Here is a 26,373-nt window from a genome sequence, read left to right on the forward strand (position 1 = left end):
ACATATTTTACTAGAGCTCATTGGTTTTCAAAATGTGCTTCAGGGAGCCCTACGGTTCATCAGCAATGCTTCAGGGCATTCTAGATGGACCCCAAGCACAACACACTCCCAGTTTCATTCAGGCCACGGAACAACCCTGATTTTTCTAGTTGATATATGAAGGTTCCAAGTAAGATCTCATTTAAAGAAACAATTCCACAGCTGAAAGATACAAAATTAGAAAACTACAGCATAATCTAAATCCTATTTGAACAAAAGCCTAAAATACAAATAATAATGTCAATCGGTAGATCAAAAGCATTATATTTTATAATCCTATGGGTAAATAACTTACTCAATTTTAAATGTGACATTTTTCCCAATAAAATTAAGGTGATGCATAATGATAAAGTGGGTGCCAATCCTAATGTATGACATTTTATTTAATGCATTAAAAAAATTGGCAAGATTTAGTCAAAGTAACATTAAAATAATGTCATGAAAGTAGGTAAACCCTCATCTATTACACTATTATACTGGAAGTGCTCAATAAACATTAGTTATTATTTCATATGCTTGCATAAACTTTGCAAAGCTGTAATTTTCCTCAAAATATTTTTTGCAGTTTCTAAAGAAGAATGTAAGATATTTAGAACATATGATAAAGTAAAGCAGTGCAGAGGACTTTCAGTAAACTAAGAGGGCAGGTTCTGGGGTCAGACTGCCTAGATTTGAATCCCAGCTCCGCTCCTTTGCTAAGACTTTGGGCAAGTTACCTAACTTCTCTGTGCTTCAGTTTCCTCATCTGTAAATGGCAACGATAATCTCACCTTCTTAGGGCTGTTGTGAGAATTAAATGAATACATACAAAAATTTAGAGCAGTACTGATAGCACACAGTGGATACACAATAAATGTTAGCTATTGTAATAAGCAGACCTTAAGAACTCCCTCTTCCGTTAAAGGGGAAAGTTAAAGAAGAAAAAAGAATTCCCCTCCTTTATCTGCTAAAAACTTTTATATAAATTTAGATGTATTACCCTTTTTTTCACAATCAGGCAAGTTTTTAAAACTTAAACATTTTTACTAAAAGACCTCTATGCAACTAAACAAATACTAAGTAGCTTCTTTATAAGTTGAGTTTTCACTGATGACATCACTACAACTACTAGTCACTTGGGCTCAAAGTCTCAGTCACTACCTTTGACTCCTTCTCCTGCACCCTACAATTTGTAAGAAGTCAAGTAAATTCTACTTTCTGTATGTTCTCAGACCCTTCCCCTCTTGTCCTACGGCTATGGCCTTCTAAAAACTCTTAGCTACATCTTCTATCTCCATCTCAGTTCATTCTCCATACTGCTGCCAAATTTATCTTCTTAATATATCTTTCTAATCTAACCACTCCTGTGGGTAATGATAAAATTCATAAAGGGAATCTAAACCAGGGTCACTTACCAAGGGCTGAGATGGAAGGGCTGGGCCCCACGAAAGAAGGTTGGGGAAAAAAAGCTACTACAAATCACTGATGGAGATAGGCTTTATTTGAAGCTTTTGAGAAGGCGACAGGACACAGATCTAAGGCAAGCAGCACACTAGCTAGGTGACTAGGTTTGGAATATCCCAATATCCCTCTGGTCTAGTCTGAGGGCCCTAACAGCCAGGCCAAAACCACTATACCAAGAAGGCAAGAGCACAAAAAGCGAAGGAAAACAAAAACGTTCCACTTAAACTGAGCCCGAAAACCAAAATTCTAAAACATATGAAGAACATAATGCTAAGAAAGACCATCGCTTTTTTTAAGCCTAAATTTGTGCCATTGTTTAAAAAGACTTTTGGAATAAGTACTTTTCTCTACAAATAACACAGGAAAAGAAACATAACCATTTGAGACTCGGATTAAAAAAAAAAATCACAAGTCCAAGACTGGGGGAAAACAGGAAACAAAGGACTTCCCTAAATAGTCCTGCAGAATTGGGACAAAATGCGAAAAAAAGGAGCCTGGATTTCTCAAAGACCTCAGGAAATGTTCCCTTGTCTCAATAGAAGGCTGACAGAGCTATCTTCGAGAACATGTTAAACTCAAAGAGTAAGTAGTAACCCCAGCCTCCAGAAAGTTATGATTTGAGTTGACTTGTCTGATTTGACAGACATGCCATTCCATGGGATTATCCTATGGTCAAATGTCCTGAGACACTGCTGGAGCAATCTGCTCCTTTTTCATTTTCAAATCCAGTCACCAAACCTAGTTTATTATAACCATGATCATCCTTTCACAGTCAAGTCAATTTTTATATCAAACAGGTGAATAACATTTTTCTTGACATGATGAGCTGATAGGTCATTAGACTCTTTAAAATAATTATTTCCCATACCCACATTGTTTGATTTAGATAATTAACTTCTTTTGACATTAACTTCTTTACACATCAAAGTCCTATCATTCCAATGCTCTATTTCCTTTCTTCTAGACATTAAAAAAGAAAAGTCTGTTAAAAGCAGAAGCACTCAAGTCAATTTTCACTAATAAATACAGTTACTGTGGAACTGAAAACCTACTGTAATCTTTTCAATGGGTTAATGTCCTGCAGTTGTTTCAGCTTTCAATTGAAAATGCATCTGTTTGCCATATTTTACAAAATGAATTCAGATGTGCAGATTGGGACCTAGATTATTTCAACATGCCAGAGTTTAAATGTGAACCCAAGGAATAAGTTCATATCTGATTAATAGTATTTAAACCTGATCATTAAGCTAATAGCTAATATTATAACACACCTGTAAAACTGTGTTCCAGAGAAGAAAAATTGGCATTTACCTTTCAATTTAAAATGAAGGAATTTAAGGATGCACGCCTTTCCTCAGAAAATATTGCTATCAAAAAAAAAGTTTTAATTGTAGTGAAGTTAATCACAAAAAGTGAGTTAAACAAAATGCACTGAACATGCTACTGGGTTTCTAGTTAGATCTCATATTTTGGGGGACTAAATGACCACAGAAGAAATACCATGAAACATCTTTAAGCTTAAAAGACCTCAAATTGTTGAGAACCTTATTACTAGTTTCTGCACCCTCCAAACATCATCAAAATCTGGACTGTGAAAACTATCAGTCAATCCACTAAAAGAGAGAAGTTTTAATCTTTTCTTCTATATTGCTGAAGAAAACTATTTCAGCAGACCTATGTACTGATTTTGAGCATCTACAGAGTCTCAATTCTAATGATAACCTGAACATCTCACATAATATAAATTAATAGAAAACTTTTATAATTAGAACATTTTTATTTTCATAAAATTCCAAAGGCAGGAAACAATTATGGTTAAGCCAACACTATTATGCACTGAGTTTTCGTTTTGTTGTTTAAAAAAATAATCAGGTTACATCATGATCTAAATTTCTTCTGATGTGAAAAATAATACCAAATGGTCAATCACTGAGAATGAAAAAAATTAAAAATTAAATACATAAAATATCTATAAAAACTTCTAGACCTAGTGTTTAGAATAACACAAAGGTAATCTCAATATATTAATATATGCCCCATTTTAAGTGGACTTTGGAAGGTATTAAAAAGCCTGGTTTATAAACTTATCTCAAATCAGTCACACCTGACCTCCCCAGCCTCCTTTTCTACCACAGTCAAATCAAACTTTCACTATCTCCAGAACCATTCCATGTTCTTTTGAACCTTTACCCCTACAGTTCTCTCTACTTGCAATACCTTTTGAAACAATACAGTATCTCTCAACCTACCCAAACTCTACTGACCTAAGCCCATCTCCAAGAAACCTTCCCAGATATGTAAACAAAAGAAATTCTTTCTCTGACATCTAATTATTTTAGTTTATATTAGTTTAATATTAAATTACTTTAGTGCATACTAATTATTTTTGTTGAATGAGCCTCTGTCCCACAGTGAATCCCTCCCCTAGCTATGGACAGTTGACATCATCTTCTACTTCCAGAGAAATAAAAAGCTATCATTTAGTCATTCCCTCCACTCTCCTCCACCAAAGACAGTGTATCGTATCCTCCCTTAATTCCCTCCTCTTATAATAAAGACACACTCTTATTTAAAGCCAACACCACCAGTGCTTTGGATTCTTCATATCTAAGTATTTACGGGGCACCTACTACAGGCCAAACACCGTTCTAAGAGGTAGGGATATAGTAGTGACTAAGTCAGACAAAAAGAAATACATTATAATGCAAGAGACAAGCACATAAACAAATATAATTTGAGGAAATAACAAATACTATGAAATCAAAAAAACAAGTTGATTTCAACTGGGAGGTGGCATTTAATATAAGATCTGGGAGGGAGCTCTGGAGAACTTCCCAACAGAAAGAACAGCAAAGTACCAAAATCCTGTGGCCAGTGTGGCTAGAAAGATATGAACACAGGGGTAGCAAGAGGGCAGATCTTATAAAGCCTTTAGGCCACAGGAGTTTACATTTCACTTGAGTGTAATGTGAAGCTATTAGAGAATTTTGAAAAGGGAAGTTACTTGAAATGTTTTAGGTTTAAAAAGATAACTCCAGCAGCTGGGAGAATATACTATATGGAAGCAAGAGTGCAATCAAGAAGACCAGTTAGGAAGTTATTGAGGTTGTGCAGACAAGAGATGACAGTGGGTTGAATTAGTTTAACAAGCGGAGATGATGAGAAGTGGTCAGATTTCTGGAATACATTTTGAAAGCAGAACTGATTTGCTGATGGATTACACGTGGGGTGTGAGAGAAGCGCAGTCAAGGATGACCGAATTCTGGAGCCTTAGAAACTGGTTGAATGGTGGTGCCATTTACTGAGATCCAGAAGACTGGGAAGGAAAAAAAAAACAGTTCAGTTGGGCCTATGTTAAGTTTGAGACAACTATTAGACATTCAAGTGGAGATTTTAAAAAGCTGCAGAAGCTTTGTGAGAGATGTTGTAAAGCAGAAAACTGAAATAAAAGCCATGGTCACAAGATTTTTGTTAAGGATAATTAATCAATATAATAGAACTTTGTATAAGGATATAAGGATCAACTAATCTCATAAGTTCAGTTTCTCTGTCAGGAATAATTTATCTCACAGGAATCCATATAATGGGCACTAAAAAAAATCTGAATTGAAAATATCAAAACACCCTGTAAACATGAAAACTACCCCCATCCTTTCTCTCTGGATGATAAACAGCTAAAACTGTGCAGCATTACATATCCTACCTGAGCATCTTTTTGAACAGACATAGGAGCCCAGTGATAGACTGCTCCGAGACACAGGAGTTTCTAGCATATCCTCCTTCTTTAGTCTCACATTAAGTTTCTATTCCATATGCTTTCATATCCAGTACTCTCACAGAAAAATTGAGTTTAAAAAAAAAATTTCTTTGCAAAAACAGTCCCTAAGGTGCACTGCAAATGTGCCTATCAGATTATCCTTAAGCCCTGACAAATGGCACATAGCACACTTACTTTTCCAACATTAAAACACTGTTGTTCTTACACAAACTTAATTAAAGAGTTACTTAATGGTTAACTTTTGAGATATGTGGAAGATTTTGGCAGCAATTATACTCCTAACAGTAAGAGGTAAGTGTATTTGACAAACATGTCAAAAAAATAAGCAGCTCCCTTAAAAATCAAAACTCTCTTCCAGTCTAGAGTCACATTTCAGAAATATTAAAGCTTATGAGAATTCTGCATTAAACATAAACAATTTACAAAATATCTGATGTGTTTAAAAACAGTTTATGTGACCAAAAAGAAAAAGGACTGGGGGATTTACTGTAGGCATGTAAAAAATAGAGGAATTTGGAGTTTATAAAGGGTACTTCACCAGTATTAGCTCACTTTTTTTTTTTTTTTTCACAATTACCCTACAAGACAAGTATTCTCCCTCTACCAATGAGGAAACTAAGACTGGCTGAAGGTCACAAATCCAATAAACAACAGGCTTTGATCCCAGATAGCAGATAACCTGAAATATTCAGGCCATTTAGATATACTATGTTTTAATAACAATCCTCTCATTTTAGTGCTTTAGTTTTTTCATTAGTAAAAGATCTCTATCTCCTAAAACACTAAAATATTGTGAAATTAACTGAAAAGTTGTAAACATAGCAGTCAGGGGACTTACATGGTCATTAAGTTATCTTGGAGACTGATGACTTTAAACACTCAGTTAAGAAATTCTTTGTTTAAAAGAAAATCTTAGGTAGATGGATAAGCAACTATAACAGACAAACATATATGCAAATTGGTGGGAGGGAACCAAAGACATCTGAGCAGACTTCAGAACTACAGTTTGAAAATCACTAATTTCCTCCAAATCCCTCATTTTTCAGGTGAGGAACTGAAGTCCAGAGGGGTTTCTTGAACTGCCCAAGGACACACTACTATTTAGTGATACAAGCTGGGACTAAAACTGAGGTCCCCCGACACCTGGTCCAGAGTTCTTTCTACTATACATCAAAGAATATACAAATAAAAGTTTATCATAACTAACCCAAAAGGCCTCCACAATGTGTATGTCACAGTGAACTGTGTTGTGAAATATTAATATCTGACTATGCCAAACCACAATGGAAGCAGTAAAGAGCTAGGCTCTGGAGTTAAATTATAGGCTCTAACACTTACACATGACCTTGGGCAAGTTATGCCACCTCACTGCCTCAGTTCCCTCATCTCTAAAATGGAGATTAAAATTACTTCTCTTATAGGTTACATAAAATAACATACGTAAAGCCCTTAGTAAACCGCCTTGTACATATAAGGCATTTAGTTCATGCTGATGATGATGATTAACTCATGCAAAAGCATAGCTTCTTGAAAATATATCACAAAAGATTACTGTTAAACATGTATATTCTCAAAGAATGTTATGACTAAGAGTAGACCTTTAAAGACTAATATGAATAAAGTGAAATATACAGAATTCAGTCATAAAACCACTATAGCATTTAAATCAGCAAAAGTACATTTCAAGATTTTTTAATGATTTATATTTGTATGTTATTTTAGTTTATAAAGTATATTCACATAAATTGTTTCAATTTACTGTCCTGTGAATTCAACAGCATCTTTTCAGTAACTCCTACATACCATACACCAAACAGAGTACTATTTTCTTTTTGAGACAGGGTCTCTCTCTGTTGCTCAGGATGGAGTACAGTGGCACAATCTCAGCTCAGTGCAATCTCCACCTCCTGGGCTCAAGCAATCCTCCCACCTCAGCCTCCCAAGCAGTTGGTACTACAGGCACAAACCACCAAGCTCAGCTACATTTTTTTTTGAGATGGAGTTTTGCTCTGTCACCCAGGCTGTAGTGTAATGGCACAATCTTGGCTCACTGCAACCTCCGCCTCCAGGGTTCAAGCGATTCTGATGTCTCAGCCTCCCAAGTAGCAGGTGCACGCCAAGACACGCGGCTAATTTTTGTATTTTTAGTAGACAGAGTTTCACCATGTTGGCCAGGCTGGTCTCAAACTCCTGACCTCAGGCGATCCACCTGCCTCGGCCTCCCAAAGTGCTGGGATTACAGTTGTGAGTCACCGCACCCGGCCCAGCTAATTTTTGTTTTAAATTTTTTCTAGAGACCAGGTCTCACTATATTGCCCATCACTCTTAGGCTCAAGCAACCCGGGCCTGTCTTGGCCTCCCAAAGTGCTGGTATTACAGGCATGAAGTCACAGAGCCGGCCACGATTTTCATGTTCATTATCTTATTTAACCTTCACTACCCATTAACTATGGGCCAGGTATTTTCAGAGGGAGAACTACAGTACAAAAAAGCCTCACAGACCAATTCTAGAAAGTAAGAGCCTCATTAGTATAACCTATTAGGTGGGAATATGTTTGGATAAATGAGATACAACGGAAGGAACACATCAAGTGCCCAAGAAAATGTTGGTTCTCCCTTAGCAGTAGTATGGGGTTGTTTTCCGTAGAAAATATATTGTGACCAGATCAAAAAAGCACCATTACTGTGACTTAAAATATTATTTGTGTGTGTGTGTGTGTGGTTTTTGAGACAGAGTATTGCTCTGTCGCCCAGGCTGGAGTGCAGTGCACGATCTCGGCTCACTGCAACCTCCGCCTCCCGGGTTCAAGCGATTCTCCTGCCTCAGCCTCCTGAGTACCTGGGACTACAGGCATGCACCACCATGCCCGGCTAATTTTTTTGTAATTTTAGTAGAGACGGGGTTTCGCCATGTTGGCCAGTCTGGTCTCCAACTCCTGACATCAAGTGATCCACCCATCTCAGCCTCCCAAAGTGCTGGGATTACAGGTGTGAGCCACCACACCCAGCCTGTGACTTACAATATTATTTGTAAAAGAGAACTGTCTTCAGTAATAGTGCCTATTATACACTATCCATGCTGTTACACAAAATTTACACAACAATTTTTGCAGGTCACTCTTTAGTGGAGGCTGAAGGTAGACAAGATGAGACAAAACCAATTCAATATAAAAATGTTTGTAAAGTAAGACGATAATTTTTAAATGTAATTCTCATTTGATGCCACCAACAGTCCTATGAGAAAGCGGGATGAGGATGGGTACTAATTCCATTTTACTGATAAGGAAATTGAGGCTCTGATATTAATAAGTTAAATACCTTAACTGAAATGACAAAAGAATGTGCCAGAAAAGGGCAAAAGCTAGGTTTACAGAATTGGGTCTTAGTGCTCTGTTCACCAACCCACATAACATCTCAGAACATTATTATCACTTCTAGATTATCCAATAAACTTAAGGCTACAGCAGCTAACAGTTACTGAACTGCACACAACCCATCACATGAGTTATTTAAATTAACCTCTTATGAACCTAGAAGCAGATGCCATTACCATCTTCATTTTATAAATGAGGAACCCAGTATTCTTAGGAAGATTAAATAATTTGTCCCAAATCACATGGTTAGGAAGCAGCAGAGCGAGAACTCAAATCAAGTGTTAGAGCCTCAATAAAATATTTTACCCACTTCAGTATAAACTTAATATAATAATGCATATGGCTGAATTATTTTTCATTAAGTAAACTGTAAGCAAAACCCTTCTTTAACATTCTAATACATAATCAGATTTCTGACGGATTTCACTATTCAACCTCACCATAAAATAAAATCAGTGTTATTTCAACACAAATACTCAATCACCTGATTTGACTGACATAGACTACCATGCAGTCACCCCCACCAAAAGATGATTTTCTTCCAGAGGGAACCAAAACTCAAGCTGCTAAAGGTTTATATTCAAAGCAAAATTTTAAAATTATCAGTGGCTTAAATGGGAAAGTCACTTGCTGGCCTTATTCCAGGTATCTTATTTATTATTTAGACACAAAAACAGTAATTTTGTCACTGTTTTAAAGTATATTTCTGGCCGGGCACGGTGGCTCACACCTGTAATCCCAGAACTTTGGGAGGCTGAGGCGGGTGGAGCACTTGAGATCAAGAGTTCAAAACCAGCCTGGCCAACATAGTGAAACTCTGTCTCTACAAAAAATACAAAAATTAGCCAGGCATGCTGGCATGTGCCTGTAATCCCAGCTACTCGGGAGGCTGAGGCAGGAGAATCGCTTGAACCCAGGAGGGGGAGGTTGCAGTGAGCTGAGATCGCACCATTGTACTCCAATCTGGGCAACAAGAGTGAAACTCCATCTCAAAAATAATAAAGTATTTCTGATATTGCAATGTGGTTAATCATCCTAAAACTATATATTACAAGTCCCAACAAGGCTAACAGTAGGGTGACATTATGATGTGGTCCCAATTCGAACATTTTGATAGTGAAAGGGGTTCTATTAAATAAAATAATTGTGCTGGAACAATCAGGCTTTATACTACGACTGTCTCAGAAAAATTAAGATACTATAGTCACCCATAAAAGCACCCCATTCTGATTTGTATATTATGAGCTATTCTCTCCATCTGATTTAACTCGTGAGCTTTAAGTTATTGCTCCAGATCTAACAATTATCTTCAGCCTTAAGACCAAGAGCATCATTTTTTTTTTTAAAGAGACAAGGTCTCCCTCTGCAGCCCAGGCTGGAAGCCTGGCCTGACCATGATTCACTGCAGCCTTGAACTCCTAGGTTCAAGAGATCCTCTGGCCTCAGCCTCCCAAAGTGCTGGGATTACAAGCATGAGCCAACGTGCCTGGCCCAAGGGCACCATTTTACAGACATCAGGCCAAGGTTAAGGGTGCTACCGCTACCTATAAAGGTTTTTTATTTGTTCTTTTAGTTTTATTTTCAAATTTGACTTTATATACACTTGCTTTAAAAAAAAAAAACAGATGCACATATTTCAAGTAAAGTAATTTTGTGAAACATCTATTACCTAATTTCACTTATCTCTCCAAAAGATTTGGATAACCATAAAACTAGTTCTAAAATGTCCTAATGCTCAAGAGTTACAATTTTTCAAATCGCTTTATTACACAAAAGGTTAAAAAAGAAAAAAACTTGAATAAGAGCTGGAAACTTCTCACTGAAAAACCAACCAAAGTGGTAAAAGATAGCAGAAACCGACAATCACAAAATAGTACAATAATGTTTAAAGAAAACTCCAGTTAATACTGTCATAGCTCTCTGAATCTGGCATTAGCTGTACAACCTAGGAGACAACGTTTTGCTTTAATTTGTCAAGATGTAAATAAGTACTAACAGACCCATGGTCTGAACTGCAGTATTTGAATGAAAGGCATTATTTGAATATAATTACAATTCCCTATGGCAATAAATGTTCCAAAGAGCTGGCTTATCTGATTTAAAACTCAACCATATCAAGACTCGGAAGGACTCTCAAAATCTAAATTGTAGCCCTGTGCTGTCCAATGCAGTAGCTACCACTAGCCACATGTGGGTATTTAAACGTAAATCAATTTATTAATTTATGAATAAAATTAAAAATTAAGTTCCTCAGTGACACTTATCACATTTCAAGTGCTGAAGAGCCACTGTGCCTAGGCTACCACTAGTGCCTAAAGGCACAGATTATGGAACATCTCCATCAAGGCAGAAACTGCTAGTGAAAAGTGCAGCCCTAGACTTAGGCATACTTCGCTCCAACGTCCCGAATATCCTGAGATAAGAAACTTTCCATAGCACAATGAAGAGCATTCCATTCTTGCAAAGTACTCTCACGAACTGTTTCTCATAGGCAAATTCAGCCTCTTTGAAACATTCACCAGAAATTCCCCAAGTTTTGTCCTTCAAGTAAATCTTTGCAGGGCGAATTTAATTCCTCTTCCAGAGTCTGCCCTTCACATATACTAAGACCCCAGGTCCTCTCCTTCCAAATACATACATACATATATACACATACATATACTTATATACACACATATGTATATACATATATATACACACACATTTCTTTCTACCGAAATAACTTAACATTTCTATTAGCCTCTTGGAGAAATGCTAATTTATCCACGTGTACAGTAATACTACGTCCAGGATCGTCTGAGTGTCAAATATTACATATCACTGTCTTCATAACTTCACTCTCACGTGTGAGACCAAGTGTCCTGATTCTCTGAGAAAATAAGGTCACAGTCATTCTGAACTCCTAAAACGTGGAGAGCAAAAGCAGAGCTAATATGTACTGAGCAGCACCTGGCGCTGTTCTAAGCGTTTAACGTGTATTTTCTCATATAATCCTCACAATTCTGAAATAGGCTATAAGATCGCCATTTTACAGACCAAAACAAGGCAAAGACAAGCTAAATAATTTCCCCAGGGGTCACAGACGTGAGCTCACCCCACAGAGAACACAGCGGATCTTTTCCTCTTTCTGGATGCTACACTCCCACTAACTACCTAACTCTTCTCTCGCCGTGCCATAAAGCAACAATTTCCCTCTTTAATGATTCCTCCGGCAGCCCCCACACTACCTAGACGACCCGCGCACCCCGCTTCTCAGCACAGCCCAGCCCCCCTCACCCCACGCCCACCCGCCAAAAGGGAGGAGTCGAGAGGCAACTCCACGCTCGGCAGCGGAACCAGGGCGCTGCGCCCGGCCAGCGCCTCCCACAGCCGCCCTCCCTTCAACACTCCGGCGTAGACCACGAAGACCCAGGCAGCCGCCCTCGAGCCGGGGCCAGGGCGTGGCCGGCGCGGGGGCCCAGCGACGCTGGGATCTCCGCTCTGCGTCCCTCCCGGCTCTCTGACGTCTCCCCCGCCCGAATCCCCGCACCGCCCCCCGCAAGCCCTACAACCTCTGCTTTAAGAACCCTTGGAGGCACTGCTGCGCTTCCCGCGAGGAGAATGTGGGGGTGGAGATGGTGCGGTTTCTGCTGCTGCGGCCCGGGACACGCTTGGAAAGGGGCGGGGTGGGGGACTGAGAGTGTGGAGTGTAGAAAGGGAAAAGGTGACTCGGCTGTGTGACGGGGCGATGGGGGGGGTACAAGATGGCGTGAGCCCGACTCTCGGTGGGGCGGGGGTTGCGGAGACTGAGGAGTAAGCGATACGGACGCCCCCCGCACTGGCAGTGCGGGCGCATGCGCGCTTGGCCAGGTGGCGCGCGCTCTCCCAGCCCGAGCGAGCTACTTCCGCCACGCTCGCCGGGGGCGGGGCGTTGTGCGCGGCCTTCAGGGCCCGGCTTGGGCAGCGCTGAGCCACGCGGCGGCGTTTAGAGCTGGGGACGCTGGGAGCGGAGTGGGGACGAGCTGAGATCGGTCAGGGTGTACAGGGTGCAGGCTTGAATTCTTTAGGAATTGGGCCCGAGAGGGCTAGGATTTTTGAAGGATTGGGTGACCGGCACTGGAAGTTGATTTTCAACTCCGAGGAAGAGATTCACCGTTCTAAGCTTCTTTCCAGGAATTGGAGTGAACGGGATCTTAATGGGATTGCGCGTTTACAATGGTGAAGGGAAACGGAGGGGTCTGAACGCTCCCCGCAGGGCCGCAGTACAGGCGTGTGGATGTGGAACCCTTTCTGGGACGGCGAAACCAGCTCTTACGCCGCTTCCGCGCGCCATCACTCCCTACCCTGACCTCGCACAGAATCTGTTTCATTAATCTGCTATTAATGTTTTTTCCCCAACTCATGTTACTAGACGCAGGCGTTTAACTACCATGTTTTGTTATTGAAAACTTTTTCTACTTGAAGGCTTTTTTTTTTTTTTGGACGATTCTGTGTTTAGATTTTGGCCTGTTCCTCATTTTAAAATCTTGCACCCCCAGTATTGTACTGTACATTCTGTCCTGCCACATTTAATTGATATAGATGTAGTTCTTTAAATAATACAGTAGTCGTAAGACAATGCTTTCAGTCTTTCACTCTTTATATTATATGAAGTCTTATTTATATTTAACATTCTTATTGCCTGCTTAGAGAAGAAAACTGGTTATCCATGCTCACCTTCACACCTGTGTTGTCAAATACTATAAAATACTGTATTTTATAGGGATTCAAGTATTAACCCTCACCAAGTCTTTTTAAGCATCACTGCTTCAGTTATTTTCTTGCCTATAGATACTGTGAGTTCTGAAATCCCTTCCTTCTATTTGCTTAAATTGTTTAAAATAGCAACTTATTTGGTTATTTCCTCTGTGGATTGTAGTTGAGTCTGCTAGTGTTGTGTTTGATTCTCTTTAATCTCCCCAACGCTTCAATATTTGCCAAATACCTAAAATTCCAAAAGAATAGATATATTTAGGATGTGAGAGCTCAGCTTGATGTGTAAATCAGGGATCAATTCATTGCTGAGCAAAGTGTGCAGTATAAGGGAAAGTAACAGAGTGAGTATGGTGATAACTTCTTACATGGGAAGACTGGTTGAAAGCTCTTTTGAGTACATTACCAAGAAATTAGTTAACAGAAGATTAAGAGAAAAATTAATGTTCACATCTAAAGAAACATAAAAGTAGATCATTTCAATTAAAATTATGTTCAGTTAATGTTATCATAGAAGTTCCTGCACTGGAGTTTCACCTGCATCAGATGAGTACCTGTTTGATCCAGTTTATCAGGATAGAATCCAGATCATCTTATTCTAGGATACTGGTGTCCAGCCTGCATAAAATCACACACAGGCCAGGCGCGGTGGCTCACGCCTGTAATCCCAGCACTTTGGGAGGCCGAGACGGGCAGATCACAAGGTCAGGAGATCGAAACCATCCTGGCCAACATGATGAAACCCCGTCTCTACTAAAAATACAAAAAAGTATCCGGGCGTGGTGGCACGTGCCTGTAGTCCCAGCTACTCGGGAGGCTGAGGCAGGAGAATCGCTTGAACCTGGGAGGCGGAGGTTGCAGGGAGCCGAGATCACGCCGCTGCTCTCCAGCCTGGCAACAGAACTAGACTCCGTCAAAAAAAGAAAAAAAAAAATCACGCACAACAAAAGTTAATGAGAGTGACACATGGAGAAGGGAAACTGAGTTAAGGCATTGATACAGGAAGTTTAAAAATTTATTCTTAGGAAACTGAATTGGGCTGTTGGCAGAGATCTGATTTTTAAAGTCACATGAGTTAACCAGGTTCCTACCTCCTGGAATTTCTTAAAATCCATTTTTGAAAATCTGATTTAGCCATAATTTTGCTCATAGTTTGAGACCATTGCTATATACAAAGGGCCAAAAATATTTTTGCATTACATTCATATCAAATATCCTAAACTATCAATGGTACTAGGGTATCTTAATTATAACAAAGCTAAAACAGCGAAGCTGTTGCTGAAGTTAAGGCTTTGATGACTACCACCTCTCAGAAAAACAAGTGATTTTCCAAGGCATGTGGGGAAAACACATCAGGAGACCAAGTTAATTTATCACTCCACAAAAATGTCTCCATGACCTGGACAAAATTGTTAAAGAAAAATGAAGCATTGTTAGCGTAGACTTTAACGTTCCTCTGGCATGTAATATTCACGTAGACTCACTAGTGCAAAGAGAAAGTGCATGTATCTAAGTAAAAGTGCCCATGGGCATCTTAAAATGATTAGGTAGTAAGCCCACATTCTCAAAAGAGCAGCAGAAGTCATGGCTAATATGGAACCATCTCTCTGATTCCATGGAAGTGGTTTCTTTTTATTATTATTTTTTGAGACAGAGTCTCGCTCTGTCACCCAGGCTGGAGTGCAGTGGCCCGATCTCGGCTCACTGCAACTTCCTCTTCCCCAATTCAAGCGATTCTTCTGCCTCAGCCTCCTGAGTAGCTGGGATTACAGGCGTGTGCCACCACGCCCGGGTAATTTTTGTATTTTTAATAGAGACGGGGTTTCACCATGTTGGTCAGGCTGGTCTCAAACTCCTGACCTTGTGATCTGCCTGCCTCGGCCTCCCAAAGTGCTGGGATTACAGGTGTCAGCCACCGCACCCGGCCAGAAGTGGTTTCTTCTCATGTGGATGCTACAGTGACAGTTCAGGTGACTTGGAAATTCTTTGTTGTTTGAGATTCATAACTCTTACTTGCTAGGATGTTTGTGGGGACTTTTTATTTTCTATTTATCAATTATTTCATCCTTTGCTATATTTGCCTTCTATTTTTAATGCTTAAGTTGTCACCATGGAAATAAACTGGGTAGATTGCATATTGTTTAGAACCGTATATTGCAATTGTTGCTATATTTGTTTTCTGACGTTGAGAACTGTTTTCCAATTGCATTCTCAAAAGTATCTTGTTTTATGTTTAGAGCAAGTTGTTCTGACCAAAAAGATTACTCAGCCCGGTAGTACCTGAGCAAGTCACTTAACATCATTGCACCCCAGTTTTTGTATCTGTGGAATGAGATGATAGAACCAAATGAACTAAAACCTTACAGCCCTAAAATTCTATGTTCCTTCAAAATGGGAATAGCCAAAGGATGGATACTAAAGTTGTGCAGAATAATTTCAGCATTTGTGCTACAAAAATTACAAAAGTATTCAGGGCTTTTCTTTTTTTTTTCTTTTGAGACAGGGTTTCCCTCTCTGTTGCCCAGGCTGGAGTGAAGTCATGCAGTCATAGCTTACTGTAGCATCAACCTTCTGGGCTCAAGCAATCCTTCCACCTCAGCCTCCTCAGTAGCTGGGACTACAGGCATGTGCCACTACACTCAGCTAATTTTTAAATTTTGTGTATAGATGGGGATCTCCCTAGGTTGCCCAGGCTGGTCTCAAACTCCTAGGCTTAAGAGATCCTCCTGCCTCAGCCTCCCAAAGTGCTGGGATTACAGGAGTGAGCTGCCATGCCCTGCCTGATGTTACACATTTCAAAAGAAAAACCAGCGTGAAAAGATGTATCAAATATGCTGATGCACTGCAGGGGGTTGGGGTGCCACAAAATTATTAAGGTGTAATCAAATTGGCTTCCCCTACCTTCCAATTGCATTCATAAGGAAAAGCAGTACAATGATTAGAAAAGAAATGTTAAAAAATTTTACAGTACCAGGTAGCTTGTAGAATTGTAATCATGATCATCCTCTTAGGGACCTATCATTGTAGATTTCACAGTCCAGTGTCTTTTAAAAGTAGTGCTTGGCTGCTGAAAAAATGATTATGTTTTTGAGAGTCAGAATGGTAAGGGAACCATGGAATACCAGAGTTTCAAAGAGCCTTTGAGCTCTTCAGGCACATGAAAACTTAGTTGTTCCCGTTCCCATGGAATCCAATATGTAAAACTCTTGTACTGGAATCAAACAACTTCTACATTTCAACGGATTGTTGTAGGCCTACCATGTACCTGACACTATTCTCGAAGCTGCAGATAGAGCAGTGAACAAAACAGACAAAAACATATGCCATCATCAAACTCACATGCAGAAGTTAGACAATAAAAATAAATGCCTAAAATAAATACCTAAATTATATAGTATGTTAGAAGGTCATGAGTGTTATCAAAAAAGTTTATACAGGAAGGGATGTGGAAGGAGACCAAGCACAGGAGAAATGGGGAAGATGTCATTTTTAAATTGGGCAGTTGAAGCAGGCCTCACTGAGAAAGTAGTATTTGAAGAATGACTTGAAAGTGAAGGAGATACCTGCACATATCTGAAGAAAGAGCATTCCAGACTATGAGAACAACTTGTGCAAACCGTAGGGTGGGGACAGGTCTGGTAAGTTGAAGCAACTGCCAGGAGGCCACTGTAGCTAAAGAAGAGTAACCCAGAAAGAAAATCATGTGATATGAGGTCAGAGAAGCACTAGGCCAGATGGTGAAAGGCCTTGTGTGCCTGACACTGAGAGGCTATTGGCAGAAGATTGACATCGTAAGATTTAGGCTTTAAATTGGTTACCTTGGCTGCCAGGTTGAAAATAGTCTGTAGAGTGACAGGTCCTATTGCAGTAACCCAGGCAAAAGATGATGGTAGCTTGTACTAGGGTTGTTACAGTAGAGGGCTTAAGACATGGTTGGGTTCTGGGTATATTTTGAAAACCAATATGATTTGTTGACACATTGGATTTAGGGTTCTAGAGAAAGAGAGGAATGAAGGATGAACAATTTTGTTCAGAGCAACTGGAAAAATTGATTTGCCTACATTAGCTGAGATGGGGAAGATTGGGGTTGGAGTATGCTGGGCAGGTGCAAGAGATCAGGAATGCAGTTTGGGGAATAAGTACATAATTAAGCATGATGTTTGTATTATCTTTAATGTTTTGCCATCAAAAATAAATAAGTTCTGGGCCGGGCACGGTGACTCAAACCTATAATTCCAGCACTTTGGGAGGCCAAGGCAGGTGGATCATTTGAGGCCGGTTCAAGACCAGCCTGGCCAACATAACGAAACCTCATCTCTACAAAAAAAACACACAAAAAATTAGCCAGGTGGGGTGGCACATGACTGTAATCCCAGCTACTTGAGAGGCTGAGGCAGGAGAATCGCTTGGACCCAGGAGGCAGAGGTTGCAGTGAGCCAAGATAGCGCCACCGCACTCCAGCCTGGACAACAAAGCAAGACCCTGTCTCAGTAAATAAATAAATAAGTTCTTAAGGAAATGAGAACTTTGAATTTGTAACATTCTATAATAATTAAATTAATTTCTAATCTTGCTCATGTAATAAAGTTCCATTTAGACCTATCTAATATATGTCAAGGAATACCTTTAAGAAAGTTTGAGAAAAGCTAAACATCCCCTTGTTTAAAAAAAAAGAAAAAGAAAAATATTTTTTGGTCTATTAATCCATGAAAGTAGAGAATAAAGTTAAGACGAGTATACAGAAACATCCAGTTCTCCAAAGTATTTTCATTGAAACTGAATCTATTTCAGTAAATTATTCAAATAACTGCCTTCTTTTTCTATTACATGTGGAAACAGGACCAAAAGTTATTTGGTGTCATATAAAATAAACTACAGTGTGGCTAAGGCAACCTGTTATTCCTACTTCACATTCTGAAGGTGGATGCAACAAACCTATTTTGACTAAGTAATGCTCAGATCATTTGTTAATAGTAATCAGGGAACTGTACCAACAGGTTTCACCAGGTTACTTTGTTTTTATTTTTAGCTTTTTACAGATGCAGCATAAGCTGTATTTTCCTCTTTCCAGAATATGTTTAAAACCATTTCTTTAACTCAGTCAGGTATAGTGTAAAAAATAAAGGCTTTGGTGTCACTTTAGCCATAATGCTGGGCAAGTTATTCAACTGAAAATAAGTGTCCTCCACTGTAAAATAAGGATAGGAATACTTAATGTAGGAAGGTTGATATCAGATTTAAATGGGAAGTTCCTGACACATTGAAAATATTTAATAATTTGTAGTTATTATTGTTTTCCAGGGGTGGGGGGAGTGGTTGGGGTTTTTTTTGTTTGTTTGTTTGTTTCTTTGTTTTTTAGACAGAGTTTCACTCCATTGCCTGGGCTGAGTGCAGTGGCATGATCTCAGCTCACTGCAACCTCTACCTCCGGTGTTCAAGCTATTCTTATGTCTCAGCCTCCTGAGTAGCTGGGACTACGGGCATGCACCACCACGCCCAGCTAATTTTTGTATTTTTTGTAGAGACAGCATTTTGTTATGTTGGCAAGGCTGGTCTTGAACTCCTGGCCTCAAGTGATCCTCCCACCTTGGCCTCCCAAAGTGCTGGGATTACAGGTGTGAGCCACTGTGCCTGGCCAGTTTTCTAGTTTTTATTATAATTAGTTATTGAGTAATTTTATAATGTTTATATTTTTAATGTGTTAGACATAGTACTATTAAACACAAAATCTTATCTCAAGTATTAGACATTAGGGTGTCTTTTTTTTTTTTTTTTTTTTTTTTTTTTAAAGACCGGGTCTCACTCTATCTCCCAGACTGGAGTGCAGTGGCACAATCATAGCTCACTGTAACTTCAAACTTCGGGGCTCAAGCAGTCCTCCCACCTGATGCTACAGATGCACACCACCATACCCTGTTAATTTTTTAAAAAAATTTTATGGAGATGGGGTCTCACTATGTTGCCCAAGCTGATCTCAAACCCCTGGCCTCACGTCATCTTCCTGCCTCAGCATCCAAACTGCTGGGACTACAGGCATGAGCCACTATGCCCAGCCTATTTTTTCTTAATTCAGTAAACTTATGTAAATTTGACAATTATTCTTTTAACAGACATTTACTGAGGACGTAGTAAGTACACTATTTGTCATTGTTAGACATTGGGAATATAAGATGAATAACAGAGTCTCTGCTCTCAAAAAGACTTCTTACTGGTGAATTTAGGAGAGACAAAGGTATATAAACAAGGAAGAGCAAAGGTACTATGATAATATGTAACCTGGGTGTCAGCTGAGATCTCCCTGGGTTTTAACCTCTCGGTTAGGATTGGTTTGAACCTCCATTCCACCTCATTTGCAAGTCCAATGCCCAACCCAAGTTTTTTTCTTATTTCTGGGGAGCTGATGTTCTCACTGAACCGCTTTGGCTCTGAACTTCCCCTTACGGTAAACTAGTGAGGTTCATGGATGAGCTGCCATCTGTCCTTATTCCACAAACATCCACTCAGATGTGGAACTTATCCCTGTTCCTAGGTTTCACCCAAAAGCATTTTCACAAAGCTCTGTGTGGGCACAGCAGATTTACTAAGGTTGTGAAATGATGAAAGGGAGTTAACATCACAACATCACAGAAACACAACTTAAAAGTACTGTAAATTTCTATTCTTAAAAGCAGGCCAGGTGTGGTGGCTCAAACCTATAATCCCAGCACTTTGGGAGGCCAAGGTGGGTGGATCGCTTGAGGTCAGGTGTTCAAGACCAGCCTAGTCAATATGGTGAAACCCCGTCTGTACTAAAAATACAGAAATCAGCTGGGCATGGTTGTGCATGCCTGTAATCCCAGCTACTCAGTAGACTGAAGCAGGAGAATCTCTTGAAGCTGGGAGGTGGAGGTTGTGTTGAGCGAAGATCGCACCACTGCACTCCAGCCTTGGTGAAAAAGCACTCCTGCCACAATATCGTGCTTCTCCACAGTGCCCCTTTTTCTTCTTTCTACTCAGTCCTCTGCTCTTCCTCACCCACAAATTCTTATTTGTTTTTAATATTAAGTAGTTTTTTCTTTTCTTAGATTCCAGCAGGCTCCAGTCTTTGAGGGCTTACTGCCCACCCAGCAGCTTATTAGTGCTTTTTTTTTTTTTTTTGAGACGGAGTTTCACTCTTTTTGCCCAGGCTGGAGTGCAATGGAACAATCTCGGCTCACTGCAACCTCCGCCTCCCAGGTTCAAGCGATTCTCTTGCCTCAGCCTCCCTAGTAGCTGGGATTATAGGCATATGCCACCACGCCTGGCTAATTTTGTATTTTTAGTAGAGATGGGGTTTCTCCATATTGGTCAGGCTGGTCTCAAACTGCCGACCTCAGGTGATCTGCCCACCTCGGCCTCCCAAAGTGCTGGGATTACAAGCATGAGCCACTGCGCCCGTCCTATTAGTGCATTTTCTCAAAGAAATTGGAGATCATTTCCTTCAAAACTATGCTCTGATATAAATTATCTTACCTCCATATGTATAGATTGTAGCAGAGACACAATTAGGGAGTAGTCATTTGAGGCCACTAAGTGTTGACTGGAGCAGAGAAAGATGTCAAGGAAGATAACTTCTCTGAACCTCAGTTGTCTTCAAGGTCTTGTGATGAGGATTACATGGAAATGTATGCAAAGTGCCTTGCACATGATAAGCTCTTAATAAATGTTGGGTTTTTTTGTCATTATTGTCGTTACTGTTGAGAAGATGACGCATCACTCAGCCTTGAAGAGTAAATGATGGTTTAACAAAATGAGGAAGGATAATTTAGGCAGAGGGAGCCGTATTAGCAAAGTCAGTGTGTTGGAGGAAACTGCCAGTTGTCCAGCATGATGAGATCATAGGGTATGAGAAAGAAAGCTAGAAATTTGACAGGAGCCAGATCAAATAAAGTCTTGGGCATTAAGTTTGGGCTTTATCTAATAAAAGATGGTGAGCCTTGGAATAATTTTTTTTAATGCAATGACATAGTTTGCTTTTTAGTTGACAGTAATGTGTAAGACAGGTTGGAAGGGTGAAAAACTGGAAGGAGCTAACAGTTCAGGAAGAGGTGATACGGGCTAGAGTTAAGTCAATGGAGTAGGAAACAATAGAAGATGGCAGGAGAAATGCTAAAGAAGTAGAATTTTATATAACTTGGGTACTCGTAAGACATGAGGATAGAAGTAAGGCAAAGAAGGAACTCAAGTATCATTCCAAGGTTTCTTGACTTACTGAGTGGATGGTAGTACCATTTATCAAGACAAGGCATACTAAAATGGCAGTTTTGGACATATGTTTGAGGTGACTGTACAAAATCTCAGTGGCTATGACAAGTAGCAAACTGGAATATTCAGGCAAAATAGTCAAGATAGAAGCTAGAATAAATTATGTAGTTCAAGAGAGTGGCTGCACATTTAGGTTTAGGAACCAGAAGCACACAGCACTCATCATTCCACACACATAACTCACATGCGACACACAGCCCTGTTCCTAGATTCGGCCTAGAAACATTCTCGCAAGAATCTGTGTGGGCACAGCGGAAGCCAAAGGAGACAATGAAATGCCCGAGACAGTGCATAAAACAATGAGAAGTGAGTCAAACATCAAATCCTAAATATCCACATTCAATGCTTCTAGTTCCCAGATCTAAATGTCCACATACTCTCCTGATCTCCAGACTGTATTCTAGCTTCTATCCGCACCATTCTGCCTGAATATTCCAGTTGTGCTACTGGTTATAGCCACTGGGATTTTATACAGTTACCTTAAACACAGTCAATGGGAGGAGGAGAGGAAGAGTCAACAAGGAACGTTGAGAGGGTGCTTAGTGGTGTCACAGAAACCAGGAGAGCAGAGTTTCAGAGAGGCATATTAATGATGCTAAAACGAGAATCAGGATTAATTGGACTTAGCCAGTTGAAGGTAATCGTTGGCAAAACAGCTTCAATAGAGTGGTAGGAATAGAAGCTTGGTTATAGTGACTTGGAAAGTCCTATAAGTTCCTTATTCTTCCCAAGAAATTGGCCTGTGAAAGAGAAAGAGTAGCTGGAGAAATATTCAGGGCCATGATATAGATGTTCAAGATCAAAAGACTTGAGGTTATTTACAGGCTTTCGAGAAGAAGCTGGTAAGGAGGGAAGGTTTGAACACTTGGGATAGACGAAGGCTAATGACGAAATCACTGGATGCAAAGATAGAATTAGACCCTAGAAAAGAGCCCAGAAAGTGAGATGAGTCTTAAATTAGAAAAGAGGCAGATTGGAAAAAAGAAATGAGAACTTGAAGCAGACCATACCTAATGATCCCAGTTTTTTCAGTAATGTATGAAAGCAACTATTTTGCTGAAAAAGTGAGGATGACAGGGTAAATCCTGTATGAGGTGATAAAGTTTTGTTGCCACACTATGAGGAATAGGACAGAGATAACCAGAGGCTTGTTAAATTGCAGCTAGCCCAGAGCATACAGCAGTGGCTTTAAAAGTGTACTTGCAGCATCTGCTTCTCGTTAGAAATGAATATTTGGGCCCCGCCCCAAACCTGCAGAATCAGATACTCTGGGGGGCGGAGTTCAGCAATCTAACTTAACAAGTTGTCCAGGTGATTTTGAAGTAAGTTAATGTTTGAGAACAACTTGCACTAGAGCATCTACAGAATTTGTGACTCCTCCAACTAGCAAGCAATGATGAAGCACAAACTATGTTACTCAACCACATTCTAGTCATTTTTGGTCATATTTTTCATATTACAAATACATTTATTTGGAACAATATTGTTAAGGACTTTTAAAAATCTACTGGTTTCTCTCTAGAAATGGGTGTCATACAGGATTTAAAAATCTAAACCAAGAGATTTCTTTCTTCCAAGTTTTACAAAGCAAATACTATAAAAAAAATCTTGCTTCTCTACTCTCATTTTACATTTATAATAGAGAAATAATAAAATTGTTGTTCATAGCATCAGAAATATTCAGCGACTCCCCCTATATAGCAATTCTCAAATTATGCTCCAGCACTGGTATCATCTCATTCTAACCAAATAATGGCAGTCATTTCCCAATTCATGGGGAAGGAATTTATGAACTGAATTTCTCAATTTTAAATTATCCTCCAACAAATGTTTCTTAAACCTTCGGCTTCTACTACTACTTGTCTTGCAGCAAGTGCTAATTGATGACCAAGTAAGTGAACAAATAGTAAATAAATATTAATGAAACTTGAAGTTAGCCAGTCATACTTAGTTCAATAGTTTCTCTTCAATAGAACACATGTTTATGACTGTGATTTTTATATTGCATACCAATAATAAAGTCATTTTCTACTATTATTGTCCCAATAATCTTGCCATTGCTCAAATATTTGGAACCTAACTTGGAACTACTTTCACGATCTGGGAGATATCCTTTTGGAAATCCTGAACAATGAAACAGCCAACAGATCACTGGTCTAGAAAGATCATAAAGACTCATTTTTCAGCTAAATATGTGTGTAGGTGATCAAGGTGATTTAACCAAGTATGTCTTGCTTAAAGAAATATGGCATAATATGTAGAAATCCATATTTGTAAATCATAGATGGACATATAGATGACAGTGAGACATTCTCCAATTACTTACAATTAAGACTAAGCTCTGAAAGTTTATTTGTACAATAAGTAAATAATGGATCATTGTAGAGATACAGATCCAAGACAGCAAGCCTTAATTATAACCTGATTAAAATATGATATAAATAAGAAGAGAGGTTAGTCAGGAAGCACAGAAAGAGCAGAATTAGAACATATTGGCAGGCCGGGCATGGTGGCTCATGCCTGTAATCTGGTACTTTGGGAGGCTGAGGTGGGCAGATCACTTGAGGCCAGGAATTAGAGACCAGCCTGGCCAGCATGGTGAAACCACGTCTCTACTAAAAATACAAAAATTAGGTATGGTGGTGCACACCTGTAATCCCAGCTGCTTGGGAGGTTGAGGCACGAGAATCACTTGAACCTGGGAGATGGAGGTTGCAGTGAGCCGAGATTGAACCAGTGCCCTCCAGCCTGGGCCACAGAGGAAGACTCTGTCTCAAAAAAAAAAAAAAGTTATTTCACATTCCAATTCTGTGGAGGTAAATGAGGAAAAGAAATAGGTCAGGCTATGATGGTCTTAGTATTATTTAAAAATTCAAATTATGTAGATAACTCTCATTATCCTGATTCTGTTGTGACCAAGCAACCTTCAGATTCTTTGGCTTCCATGAATAGTATTTGGCTTCTCAGTAATGTGATAATAATGTCAATGATAATGTCAATAACTCAGCATTTTGTTTTTTATGCTGGGTCTCTTATAAGTTGAGTCAGCTCTGGAACAGCAATATGTTGTCTGGTGAGGGTCAAGGGGGTCAAACCCCAAACCCGAACTCCACTCTAAGAGGTTCAGGCCGTCTTCCTTGGCAGTACCCCAACCTGGAAACCTGTTTTTCTTCTGAACAACTACAGGAAACAGATAAATTATCATGTGCTTTTTCACCTCATAAAAGGATCGTTTGCTTTATGAAAATGTTTTAAAACATTGGGAACTTAAAGAAGATGAGAAACTGAGAAGTGACTTTTGAGTTTTCAGAAGTGCTTTAATGTTGACATAACTAGTCTTGATGGTGTGGTGAGGGTATAAATGTGAACATATTGAACAGATCACTCATTTGAGAAGGTTAGCAGTTAAAAGAAGGAAGGGAACAAAATGGAAGGTGAAAGTGTAATTGGGTAATTGAAAAGAATTTTGGTTGTCATTTTCCCCCATGAGAAAGAAACTAGGTCAGAAAAAAAAGAGAAAGGCCAATGGAAATGGAAATAGAGATATGAACATCACAGGAGAGAAGCTGGATAACTGAGAATACAGGCTCCCTAAAAAGATTGGGTTTGTGGGGCAAGGGAGTACATTTCCTTCAGGGAAAACTCCTTCAAAATTACTCTGAAACATAGTACTTCTTTTAAATACATAACTTTATTATTATAGATTGGCTTTAGACTCTCTTCCCTCTGATCAAATCTCTCTCAAATTTTATTTATTTACAAAATATGAATGAAGCGTCTCTCACAATTAAAAGAGGAAGAAAGATGTGATCCCTGTCCTAGAGAAGCTTATAGTCTAACCGGAAAAAATGGACTTCTAAACAAATCATTGCATGTCTTGTATAGGTACAAGATTCTATGTGATATGGTTTGGATGTTTATCCACACGAAATTTCATTTTGAAATGTGATTCCCAAAGTTGGAGCTGGGGCCTGGTTGAAGGTGACTAGATCATGGGGGCAGATCCCTCATGAATGGCTTGGCACCATCCCCTTGGTAAAAGTGAGCTCTTGCTGTTAGTTTATATGAGATTCTGTTGTTTAAAAGAGTCTGAGACCTTCCCCTTGCTCTCTTGTTCCCACTCTCGCCCTGTGATGAGCCTGCACCTGCTTCACCCTTCATCATGATTATAAGCTTTCTGGGCAGATATTGGTACTATGATTACTTGTACAGCCTGAAGAACCATGAACCAATTAAACCTTTTTTCTTTATAAATTACCCAGCCTCAGGTATTTCTTTACAGCAATGCTAAAATGGCCTAACACAATGTATTAGTCTGTTTCCACACTGCTGTAAAGAACTGCCTGAGACTGGGTAATTTATAAAGGAAAGAGGTTTAATTGACTCACAGTTCAGCATGGCTGGGGAGGTTTCAGGAAACTTACAGTCATGGTGGAAAGCGAAGGTGAAGCAAGGCGCCTTCTTCACAAGGCAGCAGGAAAGAGAAGTGCCAAGCAAAGGGGAAAGAGCCCTTATAAAACTCACTATCACGAGAACAGCATGGGGAAACCGCCCCATGATTCAATTACCTCTACCTGGTCTCTCACTTGACACTTGGGGATTATGGGGATAAAAATCAAGATGAGATTTGGGTGGGGACACAAAGCCTAAATGTATCACACACTATGGAAGCATAGAGGAGATTAGTTTTGCTTTTTAAATATTCAAATAATACTTCAAAACTAT

The 26,373-nt window shown here is 39.5% G+C and overlaps 2 protein-coding genes across 26 annotated transcripts in view, besides 3 other annotated features; one reads left to right on the plus strand and one right to left on the minus strand.

Moving 5' to 3' along the window:
- The window catches only part of SUPT3H (SPT3 homolog, SAGA and STAGA complex component), a 568,878-nt gene extending 556,526 nt beyond the window's left edge, over positions 1-12,352 (minus strand). For 9 of the 22 annotated variants that reach the window (NR_146632.2, XR_001743692.2, XR_007059346.1 and 6 more), the window contains exon 1: positions 12,186-12,352. The gene's annotated coding sequence lies outside the window, so the exon portion shown is untranslated. The other 13 variants (NR_146634.2, NR_146633.1, NR_146635.2 and 10 more) reach the window with 6 other exon arrangements.
- RUNX2 (RUNX family transcription factor 2) overlaps positions 1-26,373 on the plus strand; it is a 222,753-nt gene that overhangs the window by 37,253 nt on the left and 159,127 nt on the right. For 2 of the 4 annotated variants that reach the window (NR_103532.2, NR_103533.2), the window contains exon 3: positions 6,307-6,466. The exons of the other annotated variants lie outside the window; for them this stretch is intronic. The gene's annotated coding sequence lies outside the window, so the exon portion shown is untranslated. Of the gene's footprint in view, positions 1-6,306; positions 6,467-26,373 lie in introns of those variants that run through there. 4 annotated transcript variants of the gene reach the window in all.
- Positions 11,994-12,273: a silencer, noted in NCBI's record as "silent region_17265". NCBI's record gives its function as "represses an Ori minimal core promoter by ATAC-STARR-seq in GM12878 lymphoblastoid cells {active_cell/tissue: GM12878}" and the evidence as "EXISTENCE:reporter gene assay evidence [ECO:0000049][PMID:35858748]".
- Positions 12,284-12,827: an enhancer, noted in NCBI's record as "H3K27ac hESC enhancer chr6:45345603-45346146 (GRCh37/hg19 assembly coordinates)". NCBI's record gives its function as "activates a minimal SCP1, AML or CMV promoter by ChIP-STARR-seq in naive H9 embryonic stem cells {active_cell/tissue: H9 hESC(naive)}" and the evidence as "EXISTENCE:reporter gene assay evidence [ECO:0000049][PMID:30033119]".
- Positions 12,594-12,643: a silencer, noted in NCBI's record as "silent region_17266". NCBI's record gives its function as "represses an Ori minimal core promoter by ATAC-STARR-seq in GM12878 lymphoblastoid cells {active_cell/tissue: GM12878}" and the evidence as "EXISTENCE:reporter gene assay evidence [ECO:0000049][PMID:35858748]".

This window comes from Homo sapiens, chromosome 6, assembly GCF_000001405.40.
Source record: "Homo sapiens chromosome 6, GRCh38.p14 Primary Assembly".
Lineage (NCBI taxonomy): Eukaryota > Metazoa > Chordata > Mammalia > Primates > Hominidae > Homo > Homo sapiens.